The 14,801-nt window shown below is 54.2% G+C and overlaps 1 long non-coding RNA gene across 1 annotated transcript in view, besides 4 other annotated features; it reads right to left on the bottom strand.

The window, feature by feature from the left end:
* Positions 710-881: a silencer, noted in NCBI's record as "fragment chr12:131707318-131707489 (GRCh37/hg19 assembly coordinates)". NCBI's record gives its function as "represses an EF-1alpha promoter that drives an FKBP-Casp9 reporter gene in an ReSE screen in K562 erythroleukemia cells {active_cell/tissue: K562}" and the evidence as "EXISTENCE:reporter gene assay evidence [ECO:0000049][PMID:32094911]".
* Positions 1,076-1,175: an enhancer, noted in NCBI's record as "active region_7360". NCBI's record gives its function as "activates an Ori minimal core promoter by ATAC-STARR-seq in GM12878 lymphoblastoid cells {active_cell/tissue: GM12878}" and the evidence as "EXISTENCE:reporter gene assay evidence [ECO:0000049][PMID:35858748]".
* Positions 1,396-1,475: an enhancer, noted in NCBI's record as "active region_7359". NCBI's record gives its function as "activates an Ori minimal core promoter by ATAC-STARR-seq in GM12878 lymphoblastoid cells {active_cell/tissue: GM12878}" and the evidence as "EXISTENCE:reporter gene assay evidence [ECO:0000049][PMID:35858748]".
* Positions 4,840-4,889: an enhancer, noted in NCBI's record as "active region_7358". NCBI's record gives its function as "activates an Ori minimal core promoter by ATAC-STARR-seq in GM12878 lymphoblastoid cells {active_cell/tissue: GM12878}" and the evidence as "EXISTENCE:reporter gene assay evidence [ECO:0000049][PMID:35858748]".
* The window catches only part of LINC01257 (long intergenic non-protein coding RNA 1257), a 47,921-nt gene continuing 43,842 nt past the window's right edge, over positions 10,723-14,801 (bottom strand). Inside the window, exons 4-5 of the long non-coding RNA NR_026670.2 lie at positions 13,259-14,398; positions 10,723-11,449 (exon numbers count right to left, since the gene is read on the bottom strand). This is a non-coding gene — a long non-coding RNA (long intergenic non-protein coding RNA 1257). The remainder of the gene's footprint in view (positions 11,450-13,258; positions 14,399-14,801) is intronic.

Raw genomic sequence — 14,801 nt, 5'->3', positions numbered from 1 at the left:
GGAGCCACGTGCCTTTCTGGCGTCGGTTTCTCCTTCTGTACAACGGGCCTCGTGGAGCGCCCCTCCTAGGGCTCTGGGTTTATTTTCTAACTTTCATGGCTGCGTCCACGTTTATCCGTCCCCACTGCCACCGCCACCGCCACCACCACCGCCACCTCTTCCCAGGAGAACCGCAGTCCCCCAGCCCTGCTGCCTCTCACCGCCACCGGGCCATTCTCTGCAGGGGGCCAGAGTCACCTTTTGCTACGTTCACTGAATGGTCACTTGCTCCCCGAAAATCCCCTCTGTGGCTGTGCGTTAGCCCCAGCCCGAACCACAGAATGCAGCCAGAAGGGAGGCCTGGCCCCGCCACCCCACAGGAGAGCGGGAAACACAGAGCCGGGGCGAGGACTGGTAGGGGGCCTGGAAAGAGGGGACAAGGAAGAGGGCCAAGGTTGGAGGATGCAGGGAGGAGGGGTCAGAGAGGAGCAGGGAAGATAGGCAGGGAGGAGGATGCAGGCTGAAGGGCGCAGGGAGGAGGAGCAGGGAGGAGAGGCCTCATGAGCCGGGGGCTCAGGGAAGCGCGGTAACCTCCCCCAGGCTGGGGCAAGGGGAGGGAAAGTGGGCAGGGCTCAGGAGTCCCCTCAACTGCTGGACCAGGGAGACACCCACCTCCCACCCAGCAAGGTCCATCTTGGCTGGGGACAGACAGTAGGGCAGAGGCGCCACCAGGGTTGGGACCACATGGAGGCACTGCGGTGGGAGCTGGGGGCTGGGGAGTGCCCTCCTCTCAGGCTCCTCCCACGTCGGGTTCCTACCCACTCCTGTTGTCAGAACCTGGCCATCTTCTGCCCAGGAGCCTCAGGCTATCTCTACAGGGCAGAGCAGGGGTGGTGTGGCTGAGTCGGCAGGATACACACACACACTCACATACTAAAACACACATGCTCATGCACACGCACACACACATGCACACGCACACACTCATGCACACATACTCACATCTTACAGAACGCACACACACTCACACACCCATTTATGTACTTACACTCACATGCACTCACACACTCACATTCAGCACTGAGGCAGACAGGGCTTGGCAGGCTGACAATAGAAAAACGAAATTCTACCAAGATATTGAAAGAGGTTATTCTGAGCCAGTATGCGTGCCCGCAGCCCAGGAAACACAGCCTGGGCAGTTCCTGAGAGTGCCCCAGGGGCTGGTTACGGCTGATTTCATGCATTGCAGAGAGACAGGGCCTGCAGACACAATCACGAATCCATGCAGGGAAGGGATACGTCGGCTCAGCCCGCAAAGGCGGGACCACGGGAGGCCGGGGCTTACCAGTCACCGGTGGGTTTCCGGGATCTTTTTAGCTCACAGCTGGCTGAGAGAGCCAAGCTTTGTCTAAAGTCTTGGAGTCAGGAGAAGGGGTGCTGGGGTTAAGAGAACGGGTCTGCTGTCTGTCACCTGAGCCGTACCACAGTCAGGCTGGAAGGTGAGCCCCATTATACCAGGTTAATAGAAAAGCCCATTTCATGAGATTTTATGGTTTGTAGGGTGTGACTCCCCAGGACTCTTTGAAAGGAATCTGGGCAAGAGATGAAAAGGTCAGAGTTCAGTCCTCAGGGGACTGACCCTTGAGCCTGGGATCCATCTCCCTCCACCTTCCCCCAGCCCTGCTGAACCTCATTAATCCCAGGACACCGTGGCCTCCCCATGGGCCCTGACCCCTCTGCCCTCTGCCAGCGAGGCTCCCTCTATGTCCTGGCGGGTCCTGCTCACCCTGCCCCTCTCTGCCCAGCCCCTCCCCAGGGGGCGTGTCCCCACCCACGTCCCCCAGGCCTCGGCCCCTCCTGCACCCACTCGGCACTGCAGGACTGGTTGGTGTCCAGTTCAACTCTGTCCCTGACACAGGACCCTGTGCTCAGACTGCCCAGCCCTGCCTCACACACGGTAGGTGCTCATTAATTGACTGTGGAGGGGTAGTGGCCTAGAGAGGAATCTGGGTGTGGCCAGGTGGTCTCAGCATCTCCATCTCACCCTGGAGGGCTTCCTGCAGGAGGGTGCACTGGCCCCACAGAGAGCGCCTGTCCTAAGAAAATAATAGAAGGAGGGCTCTGCTTCCGGGCTCCAGCAAGTGCTTAGGAGCCTGATCTGGGGCCACCTGCAGGTCTGTCCACACTGGAGATGGCACAGCTCTGTGCCAGCCGCGCAGGGGACTGTGTGCTGAGCCAAGGGAGCCAGCACTTCTCTCTTGAAAAGCTGAGGCTGTAGGAAAAGGGGGGCTGCAGGCCAAAAGCCTCTGCGACACTCAGCACATAGTGGGGAAGGGGGGCGTCCCTAGGGTACCAGGAGGGAGAACCATGGCCCAGGAGTCACTGCCAACCCCATCCGGCCCTACCTGGCTGTCCACCAGGCCCCTGGCTCTTCCCCAGACCCAAGCTGCCCTGGGCCATTCTCCCAGGTCCCTGCCCCTGCCCTGGGCCAGGCCACCGTCCCTGATCGCTGGGCCAACAGCAAGGGCCCTGCCTGTGCAGGTGCCAGATGTGATCCCATCGCATGGCAGGGCTGAATTCAGCCACAACTCTTAGAAAGGAACAGAGAAGCCTGCACAGAACGCAGTGGGGACTGAGATGCGGCAGCGATCCTGCCACCCTGGAGGGAGGGAGGGAGGGCACTGCCAGAATTCTCACTTCACACCTCTATGTTCATCCTGAGATAGGAACGGATCCCTTGTTTATGGGGCAGACCCACACACCATATGTGGACTCTGTCCTAACGCCGGCACAGAGGGCAAACTGCTTGGTCAAAATCGCCCTTAGAAATCACCCCAAAACACAGTGCCCAATGGTTCTGCAAAATATATACAGAACAGACGCAAACATATTCAGGATGCAGAACACAGACTGAAATGAACAGCGGATAATAAATGGCGTATGTGTTAAATCTAACTGGGCATATTCGATTTGAACTATTTCTCTCATTTTGTCTTGCAAAATGCATATCTTGGAATTCCTATAACTCACATGTGGATATGGTGAGAATCCAAAGTTGCTGAATCATGGAATAGCCAGTCAGAGCCCAGGCTCCCTGAACAGCACTGGGCAGCCACCACCTCACAGGTGCAGAGTCTCACGTCAGCAGAACCAGAAAATCAATTACCCGCGCCACGGCTCCACAGTGAGGGCCGCTGTGAGCTGAGGGGCCTCTTGGGCCAGGCCCTGCTCTGAGCACCTTCCAGGCAGGACTCACTCAGCCCAGCACCCCAGGAGGTGAGCTGGCTGCTGCCCTCATTTTATGGAGGAAGAAACAGAGACATTAAGGAACCTGTCGCAGGGAGCACAGGAGTGAGAGGGGAGTGGGGTGGGGCCTGTGTGATTTTGATTCCTGCTCTGAACTGGCCACACTTGTGTTCAGTCCCCCATGAGGTCACCTGTGCCTGATTCCTCTTGGTAGCCTCAGTGACACACAATTCGTGAGGGAATGAATGAATAAATGAAAGAACAAACCAACAGGTGTGGGTCACTGTCCCCAAGTGATGCTCTTTGAGCCAAGCTCAACCTTCTCGGCCCGGGTGGTCAGGGGAACGTTCACTGCTCAAAGAGTCCCCTCCACTCTGCCAAACACCCCCTGTGCCTACAGAAGCCACGCCCAGGAGCCCCTCTTAAGGTTCACAGTAGCTGAGTTTCCCCAGGTCACTGACTCCCAGGCGGCACTGGGCCCATCTTAGGCTATGGTGGGACTGAGGCTGGTGGGACCAGGACCTGAGGGCACTGGGACAGCCCGGGAAGCCAGGTCTTGGTGGGTGGAGAGGCCACCACCCCAGGCTCTGCTCGGAGGCCCCTCAGCCTCCCTGGCTGTGTCCAGCAGGCTGACCCTCGGGGTCCGGGCTCCGAGTCCACTAGCTCCTGCCTGGGTTTGGCCAACAAAGGGCACAGGCAGGAGCAGGAGGAAAGAAGGAGGGGGCACAGGGTGGGCCCCATGCCCTGAGGTTTCCTGCTGCATCCTCCATGGCCCAGAGTCCCCGGGACAGCCCTCTGCATCACTGCCTCCCACTGACCTGGGCAGGGCCCTATATGCCCCCTCCTTGCCCCCCAGCCCCAAGGCTGTGGCTGTGGTCACTCTCTGGGTGGCCCCAGGCCCTGCACCTAAATCTGCAGTGAATTCCCCCTGTGCTCTCCTGCCTCCCATCGAGTCACCCTCAGCCTCCCAAGGAAGTCGGAGCCCAGTGGGGCCAAGGGGGCTGGCTGGGGTGGGGCTCCCCGTGGTCACCGGCTGTTCTAAACCATGGCCCTGTGGCAGCCTCGCAAGACAGAGGAGGATGTGGGGACAGAGGGCAGGACGTGTCTGAGGCCACATGGTTTGGGGCCCGTGAGGAGAGAGGCCTCTCCCCTTGGTTTCACCTGGTTCTTCCACCTGGGAGGGGTGCAGCTTTCTTCCTGCTCCCACCTGGGCCCCACAGGCCACAAGCTCCTGGGGCGGCCTGTGGTCTTCCTCTTTCTCCCTGTGTGGGGCCCGGGGGCTTTAATGCTGTTAAGCTGCCCTGAAGCATTTGTCCTGGGCTGCGGAGGCCAAGGACAGGGCCTGACGGGGTGAAATGCAGTTTCCTCCCAGGTCTGGGCATCCCCTGGTCTCCCTTTCAGATTTAACTGTCATTTCGGAATTCCAGTTTTCAACACAGATCTGCCCTCACCTCGGGGCGGCCACTCCTCCCAGTGGAGAAGCAGGTTCACTAATTACCAATGCCAGACAGCCCCCCCGCTGCCTGGGGGTCATCGCTGTGCCAAAGCCCGGAAGCCAGGTCCACCTGCTACCCCCGCATCCTGGGCTGCTGTTTAAGGCCACCATGCCTCGGTCACCTATTTGTCTGCAAATTTATTACTCACAGGCAGCAAGAAACAACAGAAGGCTGGGTCCGTAGTGAGCCCATCCCCCAGGCTCAGCCAAGCTGCCAGGGTGGATGGAGGCTGGACTGTGCCCTGCTTCAGCACAGCTGAGGGACCCTGCAAGGCGGCCCACCCTGGGCTACATGCCTTGGGGGACGCGTGACCAGAGGGTGAAGCTTTGAAGGGCAGCCGGCGTGCAGCAGAGAGAGGAACAAAGCCCTCACTGTCCCAGGAAGCTCTTCCCTAACTCAAGGTGCTGCATTCCCCAGAGGCACAGGGGCAAGTCCTGGGCGTGGTTTCAGGCAGTTCCTCTCTAGCTGAGGGTGCTGCGTTCCTGCACATTCTACAACTACTCTTGAGAACTACGAGTGAGAAAGGGGAGAGAACCGAGTCGGTCCAGGCCACCCACAGAACTGTCCCGCACCGGGACCCAGGGCAGTTGGCTGTGGGTGGGGCTCCTGCTCGCAAGGATAGGAGCTTTCCCTGCAAAGGTCAGTTAGCAGGGAGGTGAACTTCCTCCAGGCCCCCGTGGGAGTGAAAGAGGGAACTGTCCCTCCATCCGAGGTCCAGGGGCCAGAAGCGCTCACGGAGGACTTCGGTGCCTCTCAGGGGCCTGGTCCTATTATGATGTGAGAGCTGGAGGCCTCAGAACCAGGAGAAAGAAAAGAAACACGTGATTCATTTAACAAAAATCAGATTAACGCACTAGGAAGTCTCAGGACCCAAGGAAAAAGTGAACCTCGGCTTTCTTCTTGCTAAAATTTCAAGTTCAGCTATTACGTTCTCAGATAATTTGTCATAAAAACTGGATATTTTAGGTCAGAAGCCTATTGAAACTTGTCCTTACCGTTCAAAAAAAAGACAAATCAGTGTTAGGGTAAAGAAATGCTGGGTTTCATGTCCTGAGTTAGATCATTTTTAAACAAACCTGGGAGCCGGGGAGTGTAATTATAGTAATCCATGAACTAAAGTTTCAGAGTCTGTTAGGGAAATAAATGTTTTCTTACAGCAGTTGTAAAAATAAATCCAGTTAGCACAGCGCAGCAGGATTGATGATTGGCTGCTCATGGTTATGTATGAATAAACTATTGTCAGCCTCAGAAAAGACATCGGAGAAAAATATCCCCACATACGTTGAATTTATTTGGGGATAGAAAAAGAGGATGAGAATCCCAAATGCACTGTGGCAAGTAACAGGTGCCTCCAGTGAGGTAGGGTAAGAAAAAGCTTTCATTGGCACAGGGGAGAAGTTCGCCTGAGCTGCTCTGACACAGTTCACTGGTTCCAGGGACCCACAGCCAGAATGCTGTCGGTTTCTTGAAGGAGGTGTTGTCACTGGGAAGTGGTCTTTTGAGAGCATCTGATCAGAATCACTGCAGTCCTCAAGAATGTCTGGTGATAGATAACCCTGGCCGTAGAAATGCGTGTACGTGTGAGCCACGCAAGCCCCGCCAGGCCGGAGATGCGCGACGGACGCAGAGGGCCTTCTTGTGGGGCTTCAGAAAGTCCTTGGAAACAGCTCTGATCTCAGACACGCAGCAGCGTCCTCCCCTCCCCCAGGCCTCCTGACCCTGTTTCCTCTGGGTCTGACAAGAGTGACTTCATCCTGGTGTCTGTCACTTTCATACTACCGATAGTGTCAACTCAATTCCAGGATCCAGAAACATAAATCGGGCTGCAGTTAAACAGATCAACAAAAGCAAACACGCACAGCCTCCTGCGGTGCCACGGTTCTCACGGCGACTTTCTCCCGGTGTAGACCGCTGTGTGTGGCTGCCTGGGGAATCCGGGGTCGTGACTTAAGACAGAGGGCAGAACACTCTGGACAGTTCTGATGTCTAAATGGTGTTGGCCGCCCCTCCTGTGCCGTGCTGGGTCCCAGCGAGGGGAAGATGGAGAGGGAGGACCCTGTCCAGAGTCCCACCGTGCGACGTTGGAACTGCAGGAAAAGGAGGGTCTGAGCAAGTCCCCACCGCCCCACCACTGCTCCCCTCCACGGGGCTGGGCCACCTGCCTGAGGCCCCATCCTGTCCCCACCCACGTCCTGTCAGAACCCACAGGCTGGGGTGCTCAGAGACCCGGAGCATCCGGGAGGGATGGAAAGCTCTCAGGACAGACGTCCAGGAAAATGTCACTTCTCTTAATGGCTCTCCTTTCCGGGGCTTCCTTAATTAGGATAACGAGGCTCTGCATGCTTCCCTGCCTGCCAAGCACAGCGGTTGAAATTTTATATTAGAAACATTAATTTCCTCTCATAGTAGAATTATTTTTTAATTTTACTTTGAAGTGTGGTCTCTGCATGAAATACAAGCCTAATTAGATCATGGTGGTAATGTATTCAAACCATAAGAATGAGAAGTGATTTGAAACTCTCTCTTGTTCCCACACCCTTTATAATTCAGCAGTAAACAGTGTATTTATGGGAGTGGGTGAACAGTTACCGGGTGCACCACCATTGCCAGACATTTATCAGGGACCCTGGGGCTCTGCAGGAGCCAAGAAACCCAGGACATTCCGAAGCTCCTGCTTCAGGGGTGAGCACAGCTGGGGAGGTGGGACAGGATCCAATATCAGAGAGGAGCTGGGGTCTTGCTGAGCACAGGGGTGTCTGGGGAGAGCAGCTGGGGGCTCATCAGAGCAGACAGAAACTCTGGGGACGGGTCTCCAGTCGTGGGTGCCGCGGGCACCAGGATGTTACCAAAGGCTTTGATGGAAGTAGCGTTTCCTAAACATCGGCCCACCTAAGTGGTGGGAGGGGTGCAGCGGGCACAGCCTCAGAACCTGGCTCTCCACGGCCCCCTCATTTCTCTCCGAATTTTCCCAGGCTGAGAAGACTGAAGTTGGGGTGTGAGGGACAGAGAAGGGTACCAACCAGGACTCCATTTGTCAGGGACAGAACCCACTTCAAACTGGCTTACAAATGAAAGGGGGCTGGGTGCGGTGGCACACACCTGTAATCCCAGCACTTTGGGAGGCCCAGGTGGGCAGATCACGAGGTTAGGAGTTCAAGACCAGCCTGGTCAACATAATGAAACCCCATTTCTACTAAAAAAAATTAGCCGGGCATGGTGACACATGCCTGTAATCCCAGCTACTCGGGAGGCTGAGGCAGGAGAATCGCTTGAACCTGGGAGGCAGAGGTTGCAGTGAGCCGAGATCACGCCAGTGCACTCCAGCCTCAGTGACAGAAAGGGGATTTATTGGTTCATGTAACTCAGAGGTGCAAGGGTAGCTACCTTCAGGTGTGGCTGGATCCAGGGGCTCCTGTGATGCAGCTGGGACCTCCCCCTGCCCTCAGCTCTGCCTCCCTCCATGATGGCTCCATGGTCAGCCAGGCTCCCCTTGGCATCTTCATCTGCGTCCAACAGGGGTGGGCTCCTCCAAGGCAAAGCAAAGGCCATTACTGGAGAGGGGGAGGCAGCTGGTGCAGAAACCAGTGCCCCTGGTGGATGGGAGGGTGGGGCTTTTCCTGAGATGGAAAAGGCAGACTGAGGGGCACAGGCTGCTGTGGCCCAGACTAAAGCCATCACCATCTGGTCTGCCTGGTCTGTGGGGACCCTCCTGGGCCTCAGCGCCCCCTCTGCAGCGGAGCCCACCCACCAGGGCCCACTGATCCCCATTCCCAGGGGTGCGGGGCTCCTCTGCTGGAAGAGGGTTCTGGGCCAGTTTGTCTCTGGGGCACTGAGGAGGGCAGGTGCTGCTCCACCAACCCCGCTTCCCCGCGGAGATGCCCTGGAGCTCAGCTCAGGTGAGTTTCCGCCCCACGAATGAGGGGTCAGGTTCTCCATGGAGACGGCGCTGGGGGATGCTGTGCAGCCGCTGAAGCGGAGGCCTGGGAGGGTTGTTTTATTGTCATGAAGAACCATTTACAAAACACCATGCAGTGAGAAAGTCAGGGTTAAGAAGAACTTGGGGCTGGGCGCAGTGGCTCACGCCTGTAATCCCAGCACTTTGGGAGGCCGAGGCGGGCCGATCACAAGGTCAGGAGATTGAGACCATCCTGGCTAACACGGTGAAATCCCGTCTCTACTAAAAATATAAAAAATTAGCCAGGTGTGGTGGCAGGCGCCTGTAGTCCCAGCTACTCGGGAGGCTGAGGCAGGAGAATGGCGTGAACCCGGGAGGTGGAGGTTGCAGTGAGCTGAGATCGCGCCACTGCACTGCAGCCTGGGCGACAGAGCAGGACTCCGTCTCAAAAAAAAAAAAAAAAAAAAAAGAATAACCTGGACGTAGTGGTTACATTTTTTGTTAACAAAGAAAAACATATCACTTGTCTGTATTTGTGTAACTTGGGAAAGATTTGGCCATAGAGAAGGACATTTTTCCTTTTATTTAATACTTGTACAGTGTACAGTATTACACTGTACAGTGTACATTCTCTAAATTTCCTCCAATGATGAGTTGTGCTTAGAACAGGAAAATGTCGGGAAAGTTAATTTAAAAAGGAAAAATTGTAGGGCAGGTGGCCCCTCTCTGTGGGAGCAGGGCTTTTTCCGGAGATGTCAGAGGGGCCGCGTTGGGCTGGGGGCCTTGACCCAGGGGGCTGGGACTGGGGAGGCCTCTCTAGGTGAGGCATCTCAGGGCAGGAACAGAACTGACCAAGGTTCCTGAAGGAGAAATCAGGCGCCTGGGATACCCAGGGAATTAGGCATCAGAAGACAGCCAGGGAGGGACAGTTTCTGTGCAGGAGGCAGCCAAGCCCAGGAGAGGAGCCCGCACCGCCCCGCACTGGCCACCCACCGCTGCCCTTGCCTCCCTGTCCGAGGAAGAAATGAAAACCTCACTCAGGCCTCTCAGGCGCAGGGACCTCAGAGGTGGGGACTGTTTCCTGCTCCCCCGAGTGCAAACGCTGGGCCTGCCCTGCCCACGCCTGCACCCCCAATGTGTCCAGTTGCTCAATTCTTCTATTTTTTACGCTTTAAAAACTTAAATCATTCACATACCATAGAATTCACCATCTCAAACTGCACAAGTTAGTATTTCTAGTACATTCCTAAGTTTATGCAACAGTCACCACTATCTAATTCCAGAGTATTTTCATCACTACCTGATATGGTTTGGCTGTGCCCCACCCAAATCTCATCTTGATTTGGCTGTGTCCCCACCCAAATCTCATCCCCATAATCCCCACATGTCACGGGAGGGACCCAGTGGGAGGTGATTGAGTCAGGGGGGTGGTTTCCCCCATGTCATTCTCGTGATAATGAGTGAGTCTCTGATGGTTTTATAAGTATCACATTTCCCCTGCTGGTGCTCATTCTCTCTCCTGCAGCCCTGTGAAGAGGTGCATTCCGCCATGATTGTAAGCTTCCTGAGGCCTCCACAGCAATGTGGAACTAAGTCAATTAAACCTCTTTCCTTTATAAATTACCTGGTCTCGGGGATTTCCTTATGGCAATGTGAGAACAGACAAGTACCTGACCCCACCCTCAAAATTATATGCACATTCCAGGTCACTCCCTATTTTCTATCCCTCACCTCCAGCTCCTGGCAACCATGAATCTGCTTTCTGTCTCTGTAGTGCTGGCTGCTCTGGACGTTTTCTATGAGTAGGATCATAAAACACATGGCCATGGTGTGTGCCTTCTTTCTTCTGGCATTATGTTTTTGAGGTGCAGCCGCATGGTGGCCTGTGTCAGTGCTTCATTCTCTCCATGGCTGAGGACACAGGCACATTCCATGGTGTGAACACACCATGCTTTGTTTATTCATTCGTCTTTCAATGGGCATTGGGGTTGTTCCCACTTTTTGGGTACTGTGAATAATGCTGCTATGAACATTCTCATACTAGTTTTGGTGTGAACATATGTCTGCAATTCCCTTGTGTATAAATACCTAGGAGCAGAAGCCGGGTCAGATGGTAGCTCTGTTTAATTTTTTAAGGAACTGCCAAACTGTTTCTACATTGGTTGCACCATGTTACTTTCCCACCAGCAATCTATGAGAAATCCAGTTTCTCCACATCTTCACTGCACTTGTCATTTCTGTTTTGTTTTTTATTATAGCCCTCAGCATGAGTGGAAAGTGGTACTTCCATAATGAGTAGCTGCTGAGTATCTTTTCACGTACTCATTGGTCATTTGTGTATCTTCTTTGGACAAAGGTCTCTTCGAATCCTTTGCCTACTGTTTAATTTGGTTATTTTTCTTTATATTGTTGAGTTCTAAGAATTTTTATATATTCTGGATACTTGTCCCAGATGTATGATTTGCAAATATTTCACTCATTCTCTGGGTTTTCTTCTCGCTTTTTTGATCATGAACTTTAATGCACAAAAGTTTTAAATTTTGATGAAATTCAATTTATGTATTTTTTTTCCTGTGGTTGTATGTGCTTCTGATAGCACATCTAAGAGAGTGCTACCTAATCCAAGACCATGAAAATTTACACTTACTTTTTTTATAAGAGTTTTATACTTTTAGCTCTTACACTTAGGTCTTTGTTGCATTTTGTGTTTGTTTTAGTCTAAATCTCTGACATGAGTAAAGCAGGACTCACCCGATAGCAGGTGCTCTCAGATCCCTGCCCATCCATTTCCGGCCAAAAGAGCCTTCAAGACAGGTCCAGCAGTGCCAGGAAGCTGAGGAGGAGGGTTGTTGTGACCACAAGGTCTGGAGACGGGAGGGCAGGGGTGTGTGTGTGTGTGACTATGTGTGAGTGTGTGTATGTATGTGTGTGTGTGTGTGTGTGTGTGTGTGTGTGTCCCTCTTGCAGCTTCTTAGTGTACCTGCAAATGCCCCCAAGAGCAGTCGGCATGCCTGTCCTGGGCCTGTGGCCCTGATGCCCTCCCATCCATGCCCTGCCCTTCCTGCTCTGCTGTGAATCTGTGGGGTCTGGGGGAGCAGAGGCATAGAACTGGGCTTCCCACACCCCTGGTCAGCTGGCCTCAGGCTGGGTTGAGACAGCGAGAGGCCCTGGTGGGCGATGGGGCCAGGGAGGACCTGGGGTATTTTCCCACCCTTCTCCAGAGACTTCCACATCCTAGAGCGGGGCTAGAAGCTGACGTGGTCCCCACAGCCCAAGTACCCCAGTGCCCTTTCTGCACCCCCTGCAAGGCAGAATGAATGTATTTTCTTAAAGTTATGGTTAATTCCCTCTTGTTTCTGCAAAGCCCCCACACCCACACCTTCTACCACATTACTTTGAACTTGAGTGAGTTTTCCTAGAATTGACTAAATTATGTTTTCTGCATCAGTCAGAATATTGTGGTAAAAGAGAGACTAACTCCAGTTACATAAAAGTAATTGCATTTGGCATGACTGAGCTTATGAATTCTGAAATGCAAGCCCTCCGCAGCCGACACAGGAGGCTGCTGTTGGGATGCCTGTCACAGCGCAATCTGTCCTCATTCAGCCCGGCCTCACCCCCCACCATCCCCTAACCAATGGACACGCAGGGCACTGGGCCCAAGGAGAGCCTGCTCTGAGTGTGAGTCCAGGTAGAAGGCCCCGCTCAGGAACCCAAAGCAAAAAGAGGTCAGCATGGTGCCATGTCTACAGCGTTGCCACTGCTCAGCCCATTGATTAGGGGACAGCTTCCCCCACTCAGCTTCCCATACCCTCCAGTTCTCCCGCAGACCTAGGAATAGAGCCAGGCAGGCTCTGGCCCACGGGCTCGAGTGGTGAGAACTGGGGCTCCTGGTCCACATCCCACGCCATCCCAGCAGCTCAGGGGTTGCTGGCAGAGGCGAGGACACAGGACTGAAGGGGCTGTAGCCACGGTTCAGCCACACGAGCCTGGGGGAGAAAGGCAGCCCCTAGGCATGGCTGTGTTCTCTCCTCTGCAAGAGGACTGGGCTGCCTTTTTCTGCTGGACCGAGGGTCTCCAGCTCAGAGAACCCTGGGACTGCCTTTCCAGTGGGAGTGAGAAGGCAGCTGCCAGCTCCCCCACCCAGCTGCTCACAGGCCCACGGCCCCATCCCACACACCCCTCCCCAGGGAGAGACAGTCACCCTCCCACGTCTGCCCTCCTGCCTCTGCTCTTCACAACACCATTTTTCTCTTCTTTGGGGAAAGTCTGCCCTCATCCTGTGTGTTGGGCCAGGCTTAGCTGTGTCAGCACACAAACACCTAAAACTCAACGACCTCATGAGGAAAACACTCATTTCTCTCCTCACAGGAATGTGGAGTGGTCATGGCAGTTGGGAGGAAGGCTCTGCTCCATGCAATCACTCAAGGACCCAGGCTGGTGGCTGCTCAGCTACCATCAACATATGGTTTCCAGGATCATCTGGGTGTCACCATCCCAGTCAACAGGAAGAAGGGGGCCATGTCAGGTGATCACGGGAAGTTTAGGGCCCAGGCCTGGATGTGATGCACATAGCTTCTGCCCACATTCCCCTCTGCCCACATTCCCCTCTGCCTACATTCCCCTGCATAAAGGTGGTTACCTGACTATGCTCACTGCAAGGCAGATTGAGAAATGGAGTCAGCTCTGGTCCCAGGAGGGAAAATGGACTTGGGGAATAGCCAGCCACGTCTGCCCAACTGTCTTCTCATCAGGGTGCTTCACAAACCTCCCTGAGGTCACCTGTTGGTTTCCAGGTCTCTGTGCCTCTGTGCCACGTGTTCCTATGTCTTCAACAGGAAATAGGAAAATTCAGAAAACTGCTCAGAGATCTCAGGTGCCAAGAACCCCAGGCCTATGTACTTTGTCCTCTGCATGAGTTCAGTGTGGACTTTCCTAGCTGAGAATCTCATTGCTGAGATTTGCCGTTTGGGAGCCACATGGGTGCATTTGAGGGCATGGACTGAATTCTTCATGTTTTTCCTGATAGTTGAGTCTCAGGCTGGCACCCACCAGTGTGGGTAACACTTTGTGGTACAGGAAGTTCAGGACTTGAATCTGCTACTGGGAAATGCAGTCTCCTCCGCGTGGGTGAGGTTTCTGCACAGACTCGGGCATGTGGGTGGAAGGATGTTAAGTGCCCAGAGCTCTCCAGAGACGGAAGCAGCAGAAGTCATCATTCGCAGCACAGGTTTTAAAATTGCATTTCTTCCTCCCAGTGCCCTTGCTCAGGATGAGCGCTGGGTGGAGACGTCTCCTTGGTGGAGTGAGAACCTCCCGGAGGCCTGCTTTCTCTGCTCTCTGACAGAGCGCAGCTGGGCCCGGTCGTTGAAGGGTGATTTTCTGCCCAGCACTGACAGCCCCTCTGGAGGGAGGACTGAGCTGAGACCCTCCAAAGTCATGGTGCCGTGGGTGACAAGGGAAGGCAGGCTCCGGAGGTGCTGCACAAGCTCGAGGCCAGGCGTCTTCTGCGCATTTGTTGAAGTTACAGAGCCCTCGTCATGATCCCGGGGTGGAAAGTGATGCTCCTCCACTCTCCATTTGTGGTTGTTGTGCAGTGACTTGGTAACAGGCGCTGCTGGTGGGGAGTGGAGGGCACTGAGATTGAGGCAGATGGAGATGGGAGCAGGGTCTGCCCGGTTCATTTCCAGCACACATTACTGCTTTTCCAAGAGTAAGTGTTAAATCCTGACAACAAACTCTCCTGAAGACTCATCCCTCAGATTAAAGGCACTGACAAGTTCTGCAGTAAAAGAAAGTCATGCATTCACTTTGCTAATGCACTGCTTGAAAAAAATGGAAAAATTACCGCAGAATACTGTTTTCATGCAATGTCTTCATATTCTATAGAACTAGTGTGTGCAGGAGACACTGTGAAAGAGGCAGCCCTCTAAAATGAAGACAAAACTCCTGAGCCTGGCAATCGACACCTTCAAAAGTTTGATTCCCCTCATTATGGTCAACACCAACACAGTGACTGCATTTGCCACATGCTGTTCCAAAGCTTTGCTACGTTAACTCATTTACTCTTCACCATAAGCAAATGAGGTTTGACAATGATGCTTCTCACTTTCAAGATGAAGATGGTAATACTCGGAGTTCCCAAGATGCACCAAGCGAGGAGAAGGCCCAGGTCTGGGACCCCT

Source organism: Homo sapiens, chromosome 12, assembly GCF_000001405.40.
Source record: "Homo sapiens chromosome 12, GRCh38.p14 Primary Assembly".
Taxonomy (NCBI): domain Eukaryota; kingdom Metazoa; phylum Chordata; class Mammalia; order Primates; family Hominidae; genus Homo; species Homo sapiens.
The sequence above is the reverse complement of the archived record's forward strand: the minus strand, read 5'-3'. Positions and strand labels throughout refer to the sequence as shown.